Genomic DNA, 23,944 nt, shown 5'->3' with positions numbered 1-23,944 from the left:
AGAGCGATATATTGAAATATTTAGGGGTGAGGTGTTATGATATTTGTGGGTTACTTTCTTCTTTTTTTTTTTTTTTGTTGAGTCGCAGCCTCACTCTGTCGCCTAGGCTGGAGTGCAGTGGCGCGATCTCGGCTCAATGCAACCTCTGCCTCCTGGGTTCAAGCAATTCTCCTGCCTCAGCCTCCCGCGTAGCTGGGATTACAGGTGACCATCATTATGCCCAGCTAATTTTTGTATTTCTAGTAGAGACGGGATTTTGCCATGTTGGTCAGGCTGGTCTTGAACTCCTGACCTCAGATGATCTGCCTACCTCGGCCTCCCAAAGTACTGGGATTACAGGTGTGAGCTACCATGCCTGGCCCATGGGTTACTTTCATATGATTCAGGAAAAAAGTGTATATGCATGTGTTGTGTGTATATAAAGATACACAGAGAAAATAAAATGTGACAAACTATTAGTAATTGGTGACTGAAGGTGAAGGATATATACAGATGTTCATTGTAGTATGATTTTAGCTTTTCTGTAGGTTTGACATTGTTCAAAAATAACAACAAGCAGGGGAGAGACTATTAAGGAAAACTCTTTAAAAATAGTACTGAAGGCTGTCAGCCCTGCCAGATTCACTATTCATTTAACAAGCAGATATTAACTTTATACTATTTCTGTGTTGCTACAATTATTAAAAACAGTAATGATACAAGGCTAAATAGGGATTAGTGGAGTGAAATAAGCAGCCAAAGGACCTGGCATAACTAGCAATTTCTGACGTGATAAAACAATAGGGAAGGGCAGGAATATTAATGGAAATCATATTGAGATAAATTCTTAGCAATTTAAAAAAAATAACTTTGCCCTTCCTCTCCAAACACTGAACTAATTTATATTGGATAGAAAATTTTATAAATAAATAAATATAAAAAGAAAAAATGCAGAATTACAGTGAATGAGATCCTAAGCCTAGAATAAACTGAACAAATCACAAAGAAAACAATCAGCAGGGTGTGGTGGTGCACACCTATCATCCCAGCTACTCAGGAGGCTGAGGCAGAAGGATCACTTGAGTCCAGGAGTTCTGGGCTGTAGTGCGCTACATCAGTTGGGTGTCCACACTAAATTTGGCATCATTGTGATTACCTCCCGGGAGCCAGGGACCACCAGGTTGCATAAGGAGGGGTGAAATGGCACAAGTTGAAAATAGAGCAGGTCAGAGCTCCCATGCTTATTAGTAATGGGATCACACCTGTGAATAGCCACTGCACTTCAGCCTGGGCAGCATAGCAAGACCCCTTCTAAAAAATAATCAGAAAAAGAAAAGAATCAGAAATTTTAACTGTATAAAAATCATAACCTTATTACATTAACAAATTTTTAAAGACTAATCTAGAAAACAATTTGCAGGTTTTTTATTATTATAAAGAATTGATTCAAATTGATGAAACTCCCAAATCTCAAGGAATGAATGACTAAGGTCAATAACAGATAGTTCACCAAAGAAATAAATGTAGTAAATAACTGCTAATTAAATCATTGCAAATTAAGTTATGAATATTTCAACTTAAAATTGCCTTTAAAAAATAAGAGTAACTTGCTGGAGAGGGTGCAGACATGCTCCTATTTTCATGCATTGGTGGTGGTATTGCAAAGCTGTACAACTCTATTGGGAAAGAATTTAGCAGTTCTTATGAGAAGTCATAAAAATTATACCATTGATTCAGTAATTCTACTTCAGGGTCTCTTGCTTAAGTAAATAATCCAAAATAGTGATAGGGTGAAAACTATAGGCAAAACACTTGTCACTCTTATTATTTATAGAAGTGAAACACTGCAAGTGAGCTAAATATTTAGCAATAATGGATTACTTAGAGAATTAATTATGGTATAATGCCCAAAGGACTATCATGCAGCTATTAAAAATGACGGCTATGGAGATTGCATGGAAAAATTATTTTGAAGTGCGAAGTTTTTGAAAAATTGTGTGCATAATACAAACGGTATAAATTTTAAAGCCCACTTTATGAGCTACTCTTTATCACTAGGATAAATATTCATTCTTCTTACCAACATTTTTACTTTCTTTGTAGTATATGTTTTTCCCTCTAAAGAAGATAAATAATTTAATGCAGTCTCCCATGTAAGGCAGTGTTTTATATTGGAGCACATTTTTATCACTTGCCATTTCACTCTGGAGTTGTCCATAAAGATAAGTATTCAAACAACTGTATTGTATTGTACTCACAGTATAATTTTTGCATTTCTTCCACCCTATCACTTCTCCAACACCCTGAGTAAATTAAGAAGTAAACTAAAGAAAATATTTTCAGCAAATAGTTTATTTGGGATATTCAACTTAAATGATGATTACTGTTCTAAAACTTTTACCTACCTTAGGTTTGGCCTTATCTGAGTATATAGTCAGTACAGGTCTACAAGTCTGCTCCATACACACTGAAAAATAACTTGCTGAAAATTTCTTTATCATTTATTTTACCTTTAGGCACTTTGCATGGCTTCTCAGATGCCACCATTGTGAATATAGTAAGAATAGACCAATGGAATGACCAAACATTAGCATCCATGCTTTATCTAACTATAAGTGGAAATGTTTATATTCTAATTTTAAAACTATTGTATGTCAGGTAAATAGAGAAAGAAACAAAATTCACAAAACCCATAATCTTTCTTACAGGCCTTATCCGCAAATTCCTTGCAGTTGATCTAGACTGAATTGTGTTTTTATAACCAAGATGTTTGATGTTCCTTAATTTTAGCAAGAATACCAACTACTTTGTTGGGATCCAGTGATTTTTGTTTTTTAATTCCTAAGATGATAGGATGGTTAATAAAAATAGCTGAGTAGGAGATTTCCACTTTTGGAAGCTCGAGTAGACATAGTTTTTTCTATTTCTTCCCCTAAGTCAAACTAAAAACTCTGGACATTATGTATTAAAAAATATAAAGATGAAAGGTAGAGAGAAGAAAACAGACTGGCTAGAAACCCCCGGGCCACAGCAGCAGCATAGCAGTAAGTTTCATGGGTTTTCATTTCGCTTCGTGTATCCCAGACTTGGAGCTGAAGAAGCTGGCAAATAGGAAATGTCAACAGCATAGACAAAGCTCCAATGGAGCCTGCTCTTTCTTAGTCAAAAGACCAAGACAGGAACATCCTAGCGAGACGGAAAACTTTTAGACAATCCTCTAGCCGAACACCACAGAAGGAAATGTGGACCCACCCTCACCCATGCCAGCAAAGGCCTCGTGGGGAACCCAGACATCTACCCTATGAAGCCCTAAGGAGGTGTGCTAATACTCCTGCTGGAGTGGTTTCAGAAAATGCCAAGAAAGGAGCTTAGATTTTTATCCCCCCTGGGCAGTAATTACCCCTTTCCCTTCATGGTGTGAGCAGAGACTGTGTGGGGAATCAGAACTCACCTCCACACACAGTAACGCAGTGCTGCACACCTCAGCTGTCAGCAGACCTGAGTAGAAAACCTAGACTTCTGTCCCCATCTTGCAGTAACAAGGCAGCACCCCACTCTTTCCTTTGCCAGAGGCATGGCAAAGAAAGCCAGTTAGAAAAAGAAGATTTAGGCTGGTTGTAGTGGCTCACACCTGTAATCCCAGCACTTTGGGAGGGCAAGACAGGAGGATTGCTTGAGCCCAGGAATTCAGGATCAGCCTGACCAACATAAAGAGACCCCATCTCTACCAAAACAAACAAACAAACAAATAGCCAGGCATGGTGACATGTGCCTGTAGTCCCAGCTACTGGAGAGGCTGAGATGGGAGGATCACTTGAGCCTGGGAGATCGAGAGATCGAGGCTGCAGTCAGCTATGATTGCACCACGGCACTCCAGCTTGGCAGTCGGCGCAACAGAGTGAGACCCTGTATCCAAAAAAAAAAAAAAGAAGATTTAAATAACATTCAGAATCTCATCACATAATACAAAAATGTCCAGTTTTATTTAATTCAGAATAACTCATAATACAAAAAGCCAAGAAGATCTTAGACTGAATGAAAAAAGAAGGCAGTCAATATAGGCCAACACCAAAATGACAGCAGTGTTAGAATTATCTGACAAAGATTTTAAAGCAGTCATGATAAAAATGCTTCAATGAACAATTAGGAACATGGTTGAAACAAATGAAAAAATAGAAAGGCTCAGCAAAGAAATGTCTCTGCTGAGAAACTATGGAGGTGAAAAAAATAGCAAAATATTTTTCATGTGCTGAAAGAAAAGAACTGTCAATCCAGCATTCATACCCAGAGAAAATATCCTTCAGTAATGAATCACAAATCAAGACATTCTCAGATGAAGGAAAACTAAGAGAATTTGTCACCATCAGACCTACCCTAAAATAATGGCTAAAAGGAGTTCTCTGGAATGTCAGAAAAGAGGAAAGAGCATGGTAAGCAAAAACATGTAAATATAACATTCTCCTCTTGAGTTTACTAAATTATGTTTGATGGTTGAAACAAAAACTGTAGTAATGTCTGATGTAATTCTAAATGTGCATAGAGGAAATATTTAAAACAATTAAAAATGGGAGACTAAAAGGACATAAGATATCTGTACTCCACTTCAACTGGTAAAGTGATGACACCAGTAGACTGTGACAAGTTATGTACATATAATGTAATATCTAAAGCGACCACTAAAGAAAGCTATACAAAGGGATACACTCAAAAACACTGTACATAAATAAAAGTAAGAGTCTCAAAAGTGTTTAATCCACAGGAAGGCAGGAAAAGAAAACAGAAATAAAAAACAGTGAAACAAACAGTCCATACCATGGGCCTTAATACAAACCTCAGAAGATTTAACAGAGTTAAAATCATATACAGTATGTTTTTTGACCACTATAAATGTAATCTAGAAATGAATAATAGAAAGGTAACAGGAAAATAACCAAACACTTGGAAATTAAATAACACACCTCTATATAACCCATGAATCAAAGAGGAACTCTCAAGAGAAATTTTAAAATGCATTATACTAAATGAAAATGAAAATGTAGCATATCAAAATTTGTAGGACACAGCTAATGCAGTGATAATACATACATTAGAAAAGACCAAAAGTCTCAAATCAATAATCAAAGCTTTCACCTTGAGAACCCAAAGTAAAATAAATACAATAAAAGAAAAGCAAAATAAACACAAAGCAAACAAAGGAAAGAAATAATAAAGAGCATAAATGAAATTGAAAACAGAAAAACAGTGGAGAAAATTAATGAAACAGAGATCCCTGAGAGGATTTGGCTCTGTGTCCCCACCCAAATCGCATGCTGAATTGTATTCCCCAATGTTGAAGGTGGGGTGTGGTGGGAGGTGATTGGATCATGGGGGTGGTTTCTGATGGTTTAGCACCATCCCCCTAGTGCTGTTAGAGTTCTCACAAGATCTGATTGTTTAAAAGCGTGTAACACCTCTCCTCTCTCACTCTCTTCTTCCTGCTTCGGCCATGTAAGATGTGCCTGCTTCCCCTTCCCCTTTCGCCATGATTGTAAGTTTCCTGAGACCTCCCCAGCAATGCTTCCTGTAAGCCTGCAGAACCGTGAGCCAATTAAACCCCTTTTCTTTATAAATTACCCAGTCTCAGGTACTTCTTTATAGCAGTGCAAGAACAATCTAATACAATTTCGTTCTTTGAAAAGATTAATAAATCAACAAAGCAATTCTACACTTCTCTTCCAAAAAATAAAAAGAGAACAGTTCCCAATTCATTTTATGAAACTAGTATTACCCTAATACCAAAACCAATGACAGTACAAAAAAAATAAGAATACAGAGAAATATCCCTTATGGCTACAGATTCAAAAATTCGTAACATATTGGCAAATAGAATTCAGCAATATATAAAATTAATGGTACTCCATGACAAGTAGAGTTTATTCCAGGCTGACTCAATATTTGAAGATCAATCATTGTAGCAAAAATCACTGGATTGACTGGAAGTCAATCAGTCGTGAGCCTATTAATCACCACATTAATAGGCTAAAGAAGAAACATCACATAATCATATCAATCACTGCAGAAAAGCATTTGACAAAATTCAACACCCATTCATGATAAAATGCTAAGAAAAATAGAAATAGAAGGAACTTCCTAAACCTGATAAAGGGCAAATAATATTATACTTCATGGGGGAAAGCTGAATGCTTTTCCTATATGATTGGAAATGAGGCAAAGATGTCTGGCCTCAATATTGTCATTCAACATATTGCTGGAAGTTTTAGCCAGTGCAATAAGTTGAGAAAATGAGCTGAAGACATACAGACTGGAAAGGAAAAAAACCAAAACTGTCCCTATTTGTAGATAAAATAATTGTTTAAGTAGAATATTCCAAGGAATTTATTTTTAAAAAGACTCCTAGAACTAATAAAAGAGTTAAGCAAGGTCAAAGGATACAAAATAAACACAAAAATCAGTTGCATTTCTGTATATTAGCAATGAACACATGACAACTGGAATTTAAAATACAGTATCATTTAAAATTTCTCAAAGAAAAAATATATACTTAATTGTAAATCTAATAAAACATGTACAGGACTTATATGCTAAAAACTGTAAAACTGATGAAAGAAATCAAAGATATAAATAAATGGAGAGACATACCATGTTTATGGATTGCAAGACTCAACATAGTAATAATAGTCAATTCTCACAAAAATATATACAGGTTTAATGCAGTTCCTATCAAAATTCTAACAAGATATTTTGTAGATACAGAGAAGGTTATTCAAAAATTTATATGGAAAGTCAAAGAAAGTAAAACAGTTAAAACAATTTTGAAACAGAATAAAGTAGGAGGAATAAATTTCAAGACTTATATAGCTACAGTAATCCAGACTGTGTGCTATTTGTGGAGAGATAGACACATAGATGAATGCAACAGAATAAAGAATTCAGAAACAGACACACAAATGAGCCTAACTGGTTTTTGACAAAAGTGTAAAAGAAACTCAGTGCAAGAAAGGTTATCTTTCACAACAAATGGTGGAGAAGCAATTGGATATCCATAGGGAAAAACAAACAAACAACAACAAAAAACGAAATAAAACCCTGATCTAAGTCTCATACCTTATACATAAATTAACTTGAAATGGATCATGAACTTAAATATAAAATGTATGACCATAAAATTAAAAGAAACAGTAGGAGAAAATCTTTAGAACTCAGGGCTAGGCAAAAAAGTCTTAGAATTGACACTAAAGCCACAGTCCCTAAAACGAAAAACTGTAAATTGCACTCTATCAAATAAAAACTTTTACTCTGCAGAAACTCTCTTAAGAGGATATAAAGACAAACTGCAGAGTGGGAAAAATATTTTCAAACCACATACCTAACAAAGGACTAGTATCTAGAATATATAAAGTTTTTCAAAACTCAACAGTAAAAAACAATCCTCTAGAAAATGGGCAAACAACATGAACAGACAGTTCACCAAGGAGGACATATAGCAAATAAGCACACAGAACAAGCAATTAGCACACAAAAAGATGTTCAACATCATTAGCCATTAGGGAAATACAAATTAAAACCACAATGGGCTGTCACTACATATCTATTAAAACTATCAAGATAGAGAACAAATTAATGGTTACCAGGAGTGAAGGAGGGATGGAGACAGAAGGTAAGTCGATTTGGCTATAATAGGACATCGTGAGGAATCCTCATAATAGAAGTGTTCTCTCTTGACTATATTAATGTCACTATCCTGGTTTTAATAGTGGACAGTGGTTTTACAAGAGGTTACTGATATGATTTGGCTATGTCCCCACTGAAATTTCATCTTGAATTCCCACGTGTTGTGGGAGGGACCTGGTGAGAGGTAATTGAATCATGGGGGCAGGTCTTTCCTGTGCTGTTCTCATGATGGTGAATACATCTCACAAGATCTGATGGTTTCATAAGGGGGAGTTTCCCTGCACAAGTTCTTTTCTCTTGTCTGCCACCATGTGAGGCGTGCCTTTCACCTTCTGCCATGATTGTGAGGCCTCCCCAGCCACGTGGAACTGTAAATCCAATAAACCTCTTTCCTTTGTAAATTGCCCAGTCTTAGGTATGTCTTAGCAGCATGAAAATGGGCTAATACAGTAAATTGGTACCAGTAGAGTGGGGCACTGCTGAAAAGATACCTGAAAATGTGGAAGCAGCTTTGGACCCGGGTAACAGGCAGAGGTTGGAACAGTTTGGAAGGCTTGGAAGAAGACAGAAAATGTGGGAAAGTTTGGAACTTTCTAGACACTTGTTGAATGACTTTGACAAAAATGCTGATAGCAGTATGTACAACAAGGTCCAGGCTGAGGTGGTCTCAGATGGAGATGAGGAACTTGTTGGGAACTGGAGCAAAGGTCACTCTTGTTATGTTTTAGCAAAGAGACTGGTGGCATTTTGCCCCTGCCCTAGTGATTCCTGGAACTTTGAACTTGAGAGAGATGATTTAGGGTATCTGGAGGAAGAAATTTCTAAGCAGCAAAGCATTCAAGAACATGTGGAACTGTAAGTCCAATAAACCTCTTTCTTTTGTAAATTGCCCAGTCTCAGGTATGTCTTTAGTCTTTTATCAGCAGTGTGAAAACAGACTAATACAGTTACCATTGGGAGAAACTGGGTGAATTATACATGGGAACTCTCTATATTATTTTCTTGCAACTTACTGTGAATCTACAATTATCTCAAAATAAAAAGTTTAATTTAATAATTGCTGAGTAAGTGGGCCTCTGCAGAATCACCAAATCAGGAGTTTCATCAATAAGTCTTAATTCTCTCCAGCAAGAACTAGTGCAGTTTTCCTAGACTCCACTTCATTTGCTAATAGAGTTCTTTAGAATCTCTAAAGATTTGAACATCATCATGAACCATCTAACTCAGCTGGGAAAGAAAATCATATACCAGTATTTTTGTTGGTCCACACATTTTAGGAAACTAAAATGTATGCTGTTTTATGGCACAGACTGTGTAGGTTGTGTACTCTTAGGGCTTATCACAAGGTCTTAGCTTGTGATATGTTAGATTTCAGTAAATACATGTTAGATGGCTGGATGAATGGATGAAACTAGTGATGTTCTAGTAAATATTTGACAACTAGCTCTCCAGAAGAAGAAAGAAGTGCTCATTTGTATCATTTGCTGATTTCTCTGGTGTAAATACTCCTCTATGGCCAATTTCAGGCTACTAAAATGACATGTCTAAACACGGGGTTGGGAAGAGATGTATCCATTACCCTTCATAAGCTAGTATAAGCTGACTCCAGCACACCACTGGATGGAGTTGAGTTAGATAGCATGCGATGTTAACCGCCTTTATTTTCTGATGCCAACCTTGTGTTATTAAAATTACAAAGAAAATCTGGGCTTTGAGTTACTGCCTAATCCCTTCTCATTAAAAGTGTGAGAGATCCATTGAGAATCAGTAGTTGTCTCAAAGCAAACCCATGGCCTTCACCTAGAGAAGAAAATTAAAAAGAATATGCCTTATTATTATTGAATACAAACCTTTTTGTGTTCATGTGGAGCACTGAGAAAGGCATGAATTACAGTAACTTGCCAGTGTCCAACTCATGGTGGAAGCAGGCTGATTTTTTCCAGTTTAGCCTCTTAATTTCTTCTTGAGGGTGATTGGCTTATGGGAGATGTACTGACAAGGACATATCACATAAAGCTTTATTTTTTAAGGAGTCTGAAAGGAAAAAAAAACCTAATTAGTTTTGTACTGTAGTCTTGTTTCTTAGTATTAAAGAATCATTTCTGACATCTGATTAATCACACTTACTCCTGCTTGTTTTCAATCTTGTTGGATGTTTCCAAAAACTATCTCATAGACAGTATTTTCTCCTCACACTATCTTGCAGCTGCAATATAATCTACACTCAAAGCTTGTGTTGCAACATGCATGCCCTTGGGCCACAATCTCTGCTTGCTTTGGCATGGTTTATTTATTCCAAAGACATCTATGCCTTTAGGTTGCTATAGAGATTTCAAGTGAACTAAACTGTTCAAGAAAACCTCAGGGAAGCCTGTTTAGTTTCTTCTAAAACTCAAGGCGATTAGTAGGCCCAGATATTCTTAAAATGTGTACTGCAAGCAAAGGAACCTCTGCGAAAAGTGGGTTGATGACCTTAGTTATAGAGGGTTTCAAGGAGAAGGTAATTTTAATAGCAGCAAAAAAGCTGAGTAGAGCGAAGTGAATTTCTTTGTAAAGGTGCTTATAAGAGAACACCTGGGGTATTGATTAACATATTAACAACTGCCTCTTTGGAGTATTGGATTGTAGCTGCTTAGTATCAATAAGTTTACAAAAACTAGCCAAAGCATTATATAGTTCAGGGTTATTGCTTACACCAATTTCAGACATTAAGCATGAGTGAATGTTTTTCTTTCTGCTTTTCTGTTTCTATATTTTCTTCAACATGCACTATTTTATGATTAAAATTATATGTGAGTAGAAAACGAGGCAGTGTTATTGATTATATAGTAAATTTTGAATTATTCTTATTTGTTTAGCAACTATTATGCAGTCTAGAAGTGAAGAGGTTAAACTAAACCAGAGTGTAGAGGAGGGAACATGGAGTTCCTTATATTTTACATAATTTTAACACTGGTGGCCATGTGTTTCTCGGTGTCCTTAGAATTGAGAATGAACAATGAATACTTTAATGGGTGAAATCAAATAAACTGTTATTATAAGATATTTATTAATTAACCAAGTTAATTACAAGTCTTTGAAAGATGACAGATTTGTGAGGCATCTTTAGAACAAAGGTCAAATTCTTTAAGCCTCCATTAATTCCTGGGACCTCAACGTAATGTTATATATGATAGCACTCACTGGAATGGGTGTAGAAGGTCAAATTTTAGGAAATTCTGGCATGGACTTTTATTGTGGAAAGTAGCTTAACCTCTGTATGGTGTGGTTTCCTTATTTAAAACTAAGAGTCACGCGCCGGGTTCAGTGGCTCACGCCTATAATCCCAGCACTTTGGGAGGCTGAGGTGGGCAGATCACCTGAGGTCAGGAGTTCAAGACGAGCCTGGCCAGTGTGTTGAAACCCCCTCTCTACTAAAAATACAAAAATTAGCCAAGCATGGTGACGCATGCCTGTAATCCCAGCTACTCCGGAGGCTGAGGCAGGAGAATTGCTTGAATCCAGGAGGCAAAGGTTGCAATGAGCCGAGATTGTGCCACTGCACTCCAGCCTGGGTCACAGAGCGAGACTCAGTCACAAAAAATAAAAAATAAAAATAAGAGTCAGACTGGATAACGGTAATGTCCTTCTAACTCTAATATTCTGTGATACAGAAGTCAGCTAAGTGTGGTAGTAATTAATTAGTAATAGAAAATTTGTTTCCAAACAATATAAAGGATCCACATATTTCAAAATATCAGTAACATAGTTTAGGAAATTGTATTAACTAAAGTCTCTTTTAATTGGAGATAACTGAAGCTAAATTAAGCTTGCTTTGATCCCAAAGGGAGTTTATAGTAAGGCTTCTGTGACCCCAGGAAAGGACAGGGGTGCAGCTAGACACCAGGAAATAGCAGCAATGACTGGAAGGAACCAGATTGCCCCTTTCTGGGTGTTCGTATCATTATTCCCATCTGAAGAATGACTTCCTGCACACAGCAGGGAACCTGGCCATTGAGAGTTCATGTTTGACCCTTGCTGCTTTGGAACTCAAGGAATTTTCATTACTCTCTTCTGCCCCACATTAAAAAAAAATATTGGAGAAGGGTGCCTGTTGGCCGAGTTTGGATGAGGTGCCTACCCTTGGATCAGTTACTGTGAACAGGGAAGCGAGTCACATAAGATAAAGACCCACTAGAATAATATAACTGGTATTATTAATAGAAGAAGTAGCATATTCTAGAAGGAAAGAGTATATTTACCAAAACAAGAGAAGGAGTAGTAATTGGACAAGGAAATAGTAAAGTTCACTAAACTTTTTTTTTAATTGCTAAATGAAATCATCACTTACTGTTTCTTACATACGCAGTAAACTACACTAATGAATTATTGCTTGGTAGATGTGGCCATAGTTGCACTAATACATGCTGGAATTTACCTGGCTTTTAATGGATACTCGGTAAATGGTAGCTATTATTTTTATAATCTAGCCAAGAGATCGGTGTTGATCATAATTCTTATCTATAATTTTTATGATCTAATGAAGAGATAGGTGCTGCTGAAAATCTCAAAAGATGCAATCCCAAATGCCATAATTCTGAATGTCAAAATCCCAAAAGGTCAAAATCCCTAAACTGTAAAATCCCTAACATCTAAAAATCCCAAAAATCACAATTGCAAGAGATTAAAATCCCAAATGTTAAAATCCTGACATCTAAATTCTGGGGAATAAAATAGTGTGAGTTTTCGGCTATATGCAGGATAGTTACATCATGTTGGTTACCTCATGTTGGGCTGAACTATTACCTTGTTATTGTCTTTATTTGGAAATTAACTATGGCATAAGGATGTGGGTTTGGGTGCCAAGTTGACAAGGAGTGGACTTGTGGACTGAATTTTAGGCATCAATTTGCTAAATTAAGGAATACATGGAAACCTGTTAAAGCATGATTTGGGGTGTGTATGTGAGGGTATTTCCATAGGAGATTAGTGTGAGTGAGTCGGAGTGGACCAGGTGGGGAGGATCTGCCCTCAATGCTGGCAGGCACCATCCAGTTGGTTGGGGGCCTGGAGAGAACAAATACAGAAGGCCTCTCTCTTTGAGAGCTGGGGCAGACTTTTCTCCTGTTGTCATGGCCAGAACATTAGGCTCACCAGCCTTTGGACCCCAGGGCTTTCACCAGTGGCCCCCCCAAGGCCTGAGGATTTTGACTTAAAACTGAGAGTTATACCATTAGCTTCCCTGGTTCTGAGACCTTTGGACTTGGGACTGAACCAGGCTATCAGCATCCCAAGAGTCTCCAGTTTTCAGACAGCCTGTCATGGGACTTCTCAACCACCATAATCCTATGGGCCAATTCCCCTAATAAATATCTTCTCATATGCATATGCTATTGGTTCCATCTCCCTGGAGAACCCTGACTGATACAGATTTGGTATGGAGAAGCTGAATATCATTCCTTCTTACTGTATTTCTTATAACAAAATGTAAGAGATATATGAAATTATTCTCTTGAATAAAAGTCTGTGATAAGCGTACGAGGCTCTCTTAATGGTGAAAGATAAAAGTTTAAAAGCTAATTATTATTGGTGCTGCAAAAGCAGAAAATCACTTAATTACAATGGCCAAGCAATAACCAAACTTTCAGTTGGACAGCATATACATAGAAAATTTGCAGACCACAACCACTCTCCAAATGTAAATGCAGTGAGTTTTGAAGATCATGGAAGAAGTGAAAACACAAGTGAAAAACACAAAAAATCTCCCCTGCTATAATAAGGTTTAGTTCTCTGTCCCCATCCAAATCTCATCTCAAATTGTAATCCCCATGTGTCGAGGGAGGGACGTGATTGGATGATGGGGCAGTTTCCCCCATGTATTCTTGTGATAGTGAGTTCTCATGAGATCTGATGGTTTTATAAGCATCTGGGATTTCCCCTGCTGGCACTTCTCTCTCTTGCCGTCATGCAAAGAAGGTCCTTGCTTCCCCTTCATCTTCCACCATGACTCTAAGTTTCCTGAGACCTCCTCAGCCATGTGGAACTGTGGATCTTTCCTTTATAAATTACCCAGTCTCCGTTATTTCTTTATAGTGGTGTGAAAACTGCTGATTCTTTATAGCAGTGTATTTACCAATACAATAAATTGGTACCACAGAGAGTGGGGTACTGCCACTACCCAAAAATGTAGAAGCAACTTTGGAACTGGGTAACAGGCAGAGGTTGGAACAGTTTGGAATGCTCAGAAGAAGACAGGAAAATGTGGGAAAGTTTGGCACTTGCTAGAGATTTGTTGAATGGTTTTGAGCAAAATGCTGATACTGATGTGGACAATGAAGTCCAGGCTGAGGTGATCTCAGATGGAGATGAGGAACTTACTGGGAACTGGAGCAAAGGTCACTCTTGCTGTGCTTTAACAAAAATACTGGCAGCATTTTGCCCCTGTCCTAGAGAGACCTGTGTAACTTTGAACTTGAGAGAGATGATTTAGGGTATCTGGTGGAAGAAATTTCTGAGCAGCAAAGCATTCAAGAGGTGACAGATCATAAAAGTTTGGAAAATGTGCAGCCTGACAATGTGATAGAAAAGAGAAACCTATTTTCTGGGGAGAAATTCAAGCCTGCTGTAGAAATTTACATAGGTAATGAGGAGCCGAATGTTAATAGCCATGAAATGGGGGAAATGTCTCCAGGACATGTCAGAGACCTTCACGGGAGCCCCTCTCATCACAGGCCCAGAGGCCTAGGAGGGAAAATGGTTTTCTGAGCCAGGTCCAGGACCCCCTGCTGTGTGCAGCCTAGGCACTTGGTGCCCTGTGTCCCAGTTGCTCTAGTTATGGCTAAAAAGGGCCAAGGTACACCACAGGCCATGGTTTCAGAGGGTGCAAGCCCCAAGCCTTGGCAGCTTCCATTTGGTGTTGAGCCTGCAGGTGCACAGAAGTCAAGAATTGAGGTTTGAGAACCTCCACCTAGATTTCAGAGAATGTATGAAAACACCTGGATGTCTGGAATGTAAGGAAATGCTTGCTGCAGGGGTGGGACCCTCATGGAGAACCTCTGCTAGGGCAGTGTGGAAGGGAAATGTGGGGTTGGAGCCCCCACCAGAGTCCCCACTGGGACACTGCCAAGTGGAGCTGTGAGAAGAGAGCCACTTTCCTCCAGACCCCAGAATGGTAGATCCACCAACAGCTGGCACCGTGCACCTAGAAAAGCTGCAGACACTCAATGCCAGCCCATGAAAGCAACCAGGAGGAAGGTTGTACCCTGCAAAGCCACAGGGGCAGAGCTGCCTAAAACCATGGCAACCCACCTCTTGCATCAGCATGCGCTGAATATGAGATATGGAGTCAAAAGAGGTTATTTAGGAGCTTTAAGATTTAATAACTGCCCCACTGGATTTTGGACTTACATGGGGCCTATAGCCCCTGTGTTTTGGCCAGCTTCTCCCATTTGGAATGGGAGCATTTATCCAATCTGTACCCTCATTGTACCTTGCAAGGAACTAACTTGCTTTTGATAGGCTGATAGGTGGAAAGGACTTGCCTTGTCTTAGATGAGACTTTGGACTTGGACATTGAGTTAATGCTTGAATGACTTAAGACTTTGGAGGACTGTTGGGAAGGCATGATTGGTTTGGAAATGTATAAGGGACGTGAGATTTGAGAGGGGCCAGGGCAGAATAATATGGTTTGGCTATGTCCCTACCCAAATCTCATCTTGAATTATAATACCCACATGTTGAGGTAGGGACCTGTAATCCCCACATGTCAAGGGAGGGAGGTGATTAGATAATGGGACCAGTTTCCCCCATGCTGTTCTCGTGACAGTGAGTGGGTTCTCATGAGATCTGATGGTTTTATAAGCATCTGGCATTTCCTCTGCTTGCACTTCAGTCTCCTGCCACCATGTGAAGAAGGTCCTTACTTCCCCTTCACCTTTCACCATGATTGTAAGTTTGCTGAGGCCTCCCCAGTCATGTGGAACTGTGAGTTAATTAAACCTCTTTCCTTTATAAATTACCTAGTCTCAGATATTTCTTTGTAACAGTATGAAAATGAAGTAATACACCTGCCAAACTATTCAGTCACTTATGACTTCTGCCCCTTCACACATAGTATCAATTTGCTATGTGATGTATTTCATTTTCACATCATGTCCAATACTGGAGGTATAAATTGTGTCAAGATTTTTAGAGACATCTAATTCATTTTATGCTTTTTTTTGGCCAATTTGACTTCACAAAAGTGCATTATCACAACATTGGGTATAAGCATTGTGCGCATATGTAGAAATATTGAAACTTCCTCAGTAAATGAAGATGTCCTTTTGTACACCTGCATTTGTTAAAGATAAAATTTCTTTAGATCTTGGTTCTTTGGGCAACTGCATATATGGTGGTGACCCATTGAAGTTTATTAACAGATCTCATCAAAAGACTTAGGTTATCTATCAAGGTATTTCAGATGCCACAGTTATAAAGCTGGGTGTACACAATTACCAACCACAGTGACTTTGTTTATACATTTTGCCTTTTGACCTATTTATGAATATGATTTGTCTTCTCATAACTTTTACACCCATGTGACCATTGTTAGTATACCTGAGTGTTTATGCTTACAAATATCTGTATATTAGTTCTTGCCTATTTTATTGTGTAAAGTGGCCTACAACATATTTTATCATGTTTTTAGATGTTTCTCAAATCTCCTTTTCAAAAATGTAAATAAATGTCTCAAGGAATTTTTATTAAGTTATTTTTTCAGAATTATATTTTCAAGATTTTGATCTCTCAGGATTGTGATTTCCAGGATTTTAGATGTTAGGGATTATGATTTTTGGGGATTTCAGTGTTCAGGATTATAGTGTTTAGGATTGTGTCTTTCAGGATTATGGCCCAAACCCCCAAAAAGGTTAAATTTATAGTTAGAATTTTTAGTGCCAGTTATTTGAGAGCACCACAAATGTCTGTGACACAAAGAAATTTACCTTTTAACCAATTGTACTAGTTCTTTCCTGCTCTATAACAAAATAGCTGAGACTGGGGTAAGTTGTAAAAACAGAAACTTATTTCTCACAGTTCTGAAGGCTGAGAAGTCTAAGATCAAGGTGTCGGCATTTGGTATCTGGTGAAGCTGCTCTCTGCTTCCATAATAGCACCTTCTTGCTGTGTCCTCATGTAGTGGAAGAGTGGAAGGGCAAGAGGGCCTCTGTAATTCCTTGCAGCCCTTGTATAAGGGTACTGGTACAGTTTGGATCTGTGTCTCCACCCAAATCTCATGTTGAATTGTAGTCCCCAGTGTTGAAGGTGGGGCCTGGTGGGAGGTGACTGGATCATGGGGGTGGATTTTTCATGAATGGTTTAGCACCATCTCCCTTGGTGCTGTCCTCGTGATAGTGAATGAGTTCTTGTGAGATCTGGTGATTTGAAAGTGTGCAGCAGTTCCCTGCTCGCTCTCTTGCTTCTGCTGTGGCCATGTGACATGCCTGCTTCCACTTCACCTTCTGCCATGATTATAAGTTTCCTCTGCAGAAACCAAGCAGATGCCAGCATCATGTTTCCTGTACAGCCTGCAGGACCTATGACTCTTTTCTTTATAAATGAAACCTCTTTTCTTTACAAATTACCCAGACTCAGGTTTTGTTTTTTGTTTTTTGGTTTTTTTTTTTTTTTTTTTTGAGATGGAGTCTCGCTCTGTCACCAGGCTGGAGTACAGTGACACAATCTCGGCTCACTGCAACCTCTGCCTCCTGGGTTCAAGCAATTCTCCTGCCTCAGCCTCCTGAGTAGCTGGGACTACAGGCGTATGCCACCACACCCAGCCAATTTTTGTATTTTTAGTAGAGACAGGGTTTCACCATGTTGGCCAGGATGGTCTCGATCTCTTGACCTCGTGATCCACCCGCCTCAGCCTCCCAAAGTGTTGGGATTACAGGTGTGAGCCACCGTGCCCGGCCAGGTATTTCTTTATAGCAATGCAAGAACAGACTAATACAGGTGCTTATCCCATCCATGAGAATTCAGCCTCATTAATCAAAATATCACACTGGATCTTAGGTTCCAATCTGTGAATTTTGGAGACACCTGTACATTCAAAACATAGTACCAAGTGTATTATTTATTACTGGATAACAAATTTCCACAAATTTAGCAGCTTAAAACAATACAAACTTATTCTCTCGTAGTATCTGTGGGTCAGGAATAGGGGCACAGCTTAGCTGGGTCAACTGCTCATCAGGGTCTTTCTCATGGGCCTAAAGTTAAAGTGTCAGCCAGGGCTGGATGCAATGGTTCATGCCTATAATCTCAGCACTTTGGGAGGCAGGGGCAAGAGGATCACTTGAAGCCAGGCATTCAAGACAGCCTGAGTAACATAGTAAGATCCCCATCTCTACAAAATGTATTTTTTTAATTAGCTGGGTGTGGTGGTATGCATCTGTGGTCAGCTACTTGGGAGGCTAAGATGGGAGGACTGATGGAAACCAGGAGGTTGAGGCTGCAGTAAGCCATGATCAGACCACTGCACTCCAGTCTGGGAAACAGAGCAAGATCCTGTCCCAAAAATAAAATACAGTGTCAGCCAGGGCTGGAGTATCATCTGGAAGCTCAAGTGGGGAGGGATCCTCTCCCAAGCTCACTTATGTGGTTGTTGGCAGGATCCACTTCCTTTTGGGTTGTTGGTCTGAGGGCCTTAATTCCTAGCTGCTATTGACTAGAGTTAGACCTCTCCTCAGTCTCTTGTTATGTGGGCCTCCCCACCATGACAACGTCATCAGAGCCAGCAAGGTGGAACCCCAGTCTGTATAGCCTAATTATGAAGGTGACACATCGTCACCTTTGCCATATTCTCTTGGTTACAAACAAGTCGTAGGTCCTGCCACACTAGTAAAGAGGGTATTAAAAAGGGTATGAACTGTAGGAGGTGAGATCATTGGGGGGCATCTTAAAGTCTGTTTGCCACACCAAAATGTTGATTTAAATATTACTCACCCAGTCCAAAGCTTGTATGCAGGTGTGAGATATTTTGCTAGTGGAAAAAAAAAAAAAAGGCCCTGGAAAAAAAAGCTCAGGCTTAACTATAATGTTACTCTAGGGTCCATCAAAAGTCTACAAAGCTGAACATTCTAGTTAACTGCTCAGGTGCCCACAGTCCCTAATCAGTCACATTAAAAGCTGTTGTGCTCATGTTTCTACTCCTTGCATTCCTAGTATAGTGTCTTATTCATGATAGATACTAAGTGCTGAATGGATGAATGTTTTTTAAATCTAGTGTTTCTATGTGATGGGAAGCAGTATAGTGTACCAGTTCAGAGCATGAACTTTGGAGTCAGAAAAACCTGGGATCACATGCTTCCTTTGCCACTTACTTGCTATATAACCTTTGGCAAGTTACTCAAATTCTGTAAGGCTCAGTTTCTTTCTCTGTAAAATGGGGATAATACTACCATATTTTATTACATCTAAGGCACTATGTATTTTAAGATACAGCATTATTTTCTGTGTAATTCATAAAGAAAAATAATGCTGCCAATTAAACTGTGATATAACTTGATTGATTATAAAATGCACCTGATTTCAAACATATTAAAATATGAAAAAAGTGTATGCTTTAGAATTGATAAAATGCAAGGATGCCTACCTTATGTGGTTTTGATAAAGTTTAAATGAGATAGCACACGTAAGACAGTATATGTAGCTTTCATCTAGTAAGAGCCTAATAAGTATTAGCTATTTTATTATTAGCGATTATGGTCCTCTTCTTGCAAACTCTTAAAATGAGTCAGTATATTTTGCTTTCTTTTCTAATATTTGAAACTGAGTTATAGAACAGATCTACAAAACCATTGTTGGTTTTTTTCAAAGAAGGAGGGAGGTATTAACAAAATGGCTGTCTCAGACCAGATGATATATAATGACCTGTAGTTCTGTGCAAAATGCTTAATAAGGGTGACACTTGACAAAGGCCTTTTTGTGGAAAGTGTGCTTCCCACACTTCATCAGTCTCTTAAGTGAAGGTAGAATAAAGGCCCAAATTATGCTTAGTAATTCAACAGGTTGAGAGCCAGCTTTTAATGCACCTCTGCTCCGCTTGCCGGTTCCTGTGATAACTGATAATTTGGTGACTAGCTGAGCCTTTGCTCCACAGTGAACTGAAGGAAGCCCTTTATACTTGAGACTGGAAATACTTCCGATGACAGTGAAGATGTATTTGAAGCAATGTGATATTGATACAAATTGCTCCAAAGGCACAGCTATAATACAACACCATAGTAGGCCAAAGTCTGGACAATGAGTGTATCTGTTAAATTGGCCATAGGTATAAGAAAGAAAGCCCAGTGCCCTTCAATTACAGTCATGTGTCACTTAACTATGGGGATAGGCATTCTGAGAAATGCGTCATTAGGCAATTTTGTCATTGTGCAAGCATCATAGAATACTTAACACAAACCTTGATGGTAGAGGCTACTATACACCTAGGCTATATGGTCTAGCCTGTTGCTCCCAGGCTACAAACTTGTACAGCGTGTTATTGTACGGAATACTGCAGGCAATTGTAACACAATGGTATTTGTGTATTTAAATCTATCTAAACATTAAAAAGGTACGGTAAAAATATAAAGGATTAAAAATGGTATACCTGTGTAGGGCATTTACCATGAGTGGAGCTTGCAGGACCGGGGGCTGTGCTGGGTGAGTCAGTGAGTGAGTGGTGAGTGAAGTGAAGGGCTAGGACCTTATTGTACACTACTGGAGACTCTATAAACACTGTACACTTAGGCTACACCAAATTTATTTTTTAAAATTTCTTCAGCAATATATTAACCTTAGCTTACTGTGACTTTTTTAGTTTATAAACATTTAAGGTTTTTTTTTTTAACTTTTTGACTCTTTTAATAACACTTAGCTTAAAACACAGATACATTATATAGCTACACAAAATATTTTCTTTACGTCCTTATTCTATAAGCTTCCATTTTTAAAATTTTTAATTTTTTACATTTTAAACCTTTTTGCTGAAAACTAAGACATAAATACACACATTAGCCTGGGCCTATACAAGGTCAGGATTATCAATATCACTGTCTTCCACCTCCACATCTTGTTCTACTGGAAGGTGTTCAGGGGCAATAACATGCATGGAGCTGTCATCTCCTATGATAACAATGCCTTCTTCTGAAATACCTCTAAAGGACCTGCCTCAGGCTGTTTTATGGTTAACTTTTATTTTTACCTAAGTAGAAGGACTGTACTCTGAAACAACAATAAAAAGTACAGTATGGTAAGTACTAGTCAATAGGAATTTTTCAGCTCTATTATAATCTTACAAGACCACCATGGTACATGACTGCATATGGAAGGACAGCTGGCCACTCATGTGTCTCCTTGGCCACCTTGAGAGACTTCATAATACTTGCCCCTTTGCACACTCTTCTTGCTGCCTAATTGCCCGTGTGCCTAGCTGGACTGTAAGCTCGCAGAGGGCAGTGACTGTGTGTCCTGCTCGCCATTTTTTCTGCAGTTAACTAGCACTCAGAAGGTTAAATCATCACTTGGTGAATGCATGAACACTGTTTAACCTCAGGTAAAGAAGTGAATTACATATGATGATGCCAGACTTTATCAAAATTCAAATAATAATCATTTTTTATGCAGTGCATATTCACCAAAATTATGCATTGTGGTCTACCATTAATAAGACATGTTCTTTAGGTTGTTAAACCAAGTGAGTTTCTGAAAAATAGGTATTGTGACAACTAGAAGTGCATATACAGAAATTGTTCCAAACAACCTGTTCCTCAGTTTTACACCATATTATGGGGCAGTATATGAACCTCTTCATTTTCAAACACATAAACACAGTGGGTCCCTTAAGCTTATAGTCTCAACTACCTAGTCTGTAAAATGGAAATGATAACAATACCTCCTCATGGGGTTGATGTGAAGATAAGATGAAATTGTATCTTTTAAATAATAATATCCCTGGTACATAATCAGTAATGAATGAGTAGTAAATAACAATATCATTGTTTCCATTGTAGTGGAAACTTGTGTGTTCACAGATCTGGGTGCCAGGAAACTTTGGTTTTCTTAGAGGGAGTGAGATACTGCTCTTGGATATGTCTGTCTTGATATCTAAAAGACTTGGGTTTCTGGTGCAGCGACATGTGTTCTTTGATGGGCTCTGATGATACTATAGCTCTTCAGCTACATTTTTTTTTTTTTGAGACGAGGTCTCCCTCTGTTACACAGGCTGGAGTGCAGTGGCGTGATCACTTCTCACTGCAGCCTTGCTCTCCCAGGCTAAAGCCATCCTTCCTTCTCAGCCTCCCACGTAGCTGGGACTGCAGATGTGTACCAGCACACTCAGCTGATTTATTGATTTTTTTTTTTAAGAGATGGGGTCTTGAGTGTTGCCCAGGCTGGTACTGAACTTCTGAGTTCAAGTGATCCTCCCTCCGTGGCCTCCCAAAGTGCTGGAATTACAGATGTGAGCCACTGCAGCTGGCCTTCAGCTACATTTGGCTACAACACGAACTGCTGTTTGGGGGTACTGTTGTTTGTGCATTGCTTACCTAAACTATTCAGTGTCCTGGGACTGAGTTTTGGAAAATGGTAAAGCCCAGTCATGTGAAGCCATGGTTCTCAAGCCTGGCTGCACGCTGAAATCACCAGGGGAGGCAGGGAAGCACCATAGATGCCTGGATTCTACCTAGAACTCAGTACTTGGAATAGTTCCGATTGAACCTGGATGAGCAGTATTGAGAACCAGAGATTTAGAGACACTGGGAATCACTGTTTCTCAGTAGTCATGTCTGTTTTCCTCAGCTGGACCATTCTGTTCTGTTTTTTGGGTTTTTTGTTTGTTTGTTTGTTTTTGAGATGGAGTCTCACTCAGTCACCCAGGCTGGAGTGCAGTGGCACGATCTCGGCTCACTGCTATCTCCACCTCCCAGGCTCAAGCAATTCTCCTGCCTCAACCTCCTGAGTAGCTGGGATTACAGGCACCCACCACCACACGTGGCTAATTTAGTAGAGACAGGGTTTCACCCTGTTGGCCAGGCTGGTCTTGAACTCCTGACCTCATGATCTGCCCGTCTTGGCCTCCCAAAGTGCTGGGATTACAGGTGTGAGCTACTGTGCCAGGCCCTGTTTTTTCTTTTTAAGTGTTTTATTTGCTTTGGGTTTCAATAGATCCTGGATATATCCTGGAAGTTGAGTGCATGCAAATCTTAAGCCATGGTGGGAAGGGACACTGTGGAAGGAGTGACACAATTGAGTGCCTTCTTGGTACTAGACCTATGATGAACTTTTACCCTATTATCTTCTGCTAATTGTTGTTAATTTTTTACTAATTTACTATATTGGTCAGAGTAGTCTAGGTCTGCCATGGTGACAAGCAGCCCCAAATCTCAGTAGACTTAAACAGCAAAGTCTCTTAAACAGTCGAAGTCTTTAATATATTTCTGGCTTATGCTTCATGCCCATCCACAGGATTCAGGTAAATGTAGCGAAGAAGAGAACACAGAGAACTGAGCACCAGCGTTAGAGAAGCAACACATGTCACTTCTGCTCACTTTCCACTGACCCAGGCAGATCATGGGGTCATGCCTAACTGCAGGGGAGCAGGGCTTACAATCTACCCTAGGCCTGGAAGGAGGAGGCCTTGTGAACAGTCTTTAAGACCTGAGCAATGAGAATGGTTTTTTGTTTGGCAGCAAGTCAGTTTCTTTTTGCATTTATCCATTTATGAAATCCTAAACTGGAATAGGTATTATATGGAACTATTCTGGGCTTTCAGAAGTGTTCATATTTCATGTCAAGTGGAGTTAATTTGCATACATACATATCATTTCGTAATTTTAAGAAATTTTGTGGAGGGTTTTCAAAAGAAATTTAATACTTGTTTTAATTTTCTGTTATAATTTTAGCAGGGGAAAATGGCTGCAAAGCTGCAGATATTTTTGTTCTTTCCTTTTCTATATTTGTTGGACTAGTTAGAGGTGACTGCACATACCAGTGCGGAGGAAATACTTATCCAAACCACTAAATGGCTGTCCTGCTTGGTGTTGCATTTATGGGAGATACTGGCTGTCCCGTTAGTATTCTACATTTCTGAGCAGTCAGCACCATGACAAGATATTAAACTGAAAGAAATGTTAAAAATAGTTCAGAAAATACAATTGTAAGGAAAAAAAAACAGAAGAAAGTCAGGAAAGGCCCTTTAGGTTTGGGAGTAGACAGGAGAGACGTTTGTTTTGCTCATTTCTGATAGACAGTGGCATTCCACAGTTCGAAGCCAAGTGAGTAAGACTGGCAG

At 38.9% G+C, this 23,944-nt stretch overlaps 1 protein-coding gene and 1 pseudogene across 4 annotated transcripts in view; both read left to right on the top strand.

The window, feature by feature from the left end:
• ZNF704 (zinc finger protein 704) overlaps positions 1-23,944 on the top strand; it is a 255,969-nt gene that overhangs the window by 106,462 nt on the left and 125,563 nt on the right. The window lies entirely within an intron of this gene.
• RN7SL308P (RNA, 7SL, cytoplasmic 308, pseudogene) lies at positions 996-1,292 on the top strand (annotated as a pseudogene).

The sequence above is a fragment of the Homo sapiens genome, chromosome 8, assembly GCF_000001405.40.
Source record: "Homo sapiens chromosome 8, GRCh38.p14 Primary Assembly".
NCBI lineage: Eukaryota > Metazoa > Chordata > Mammalia > Primates > Hominidae > Homo > Homo sapiens.
Note: the sequence above shows the minus strand (reverse complement) of the source record. Positions and strands in the feature narration are given on the sequence as shown.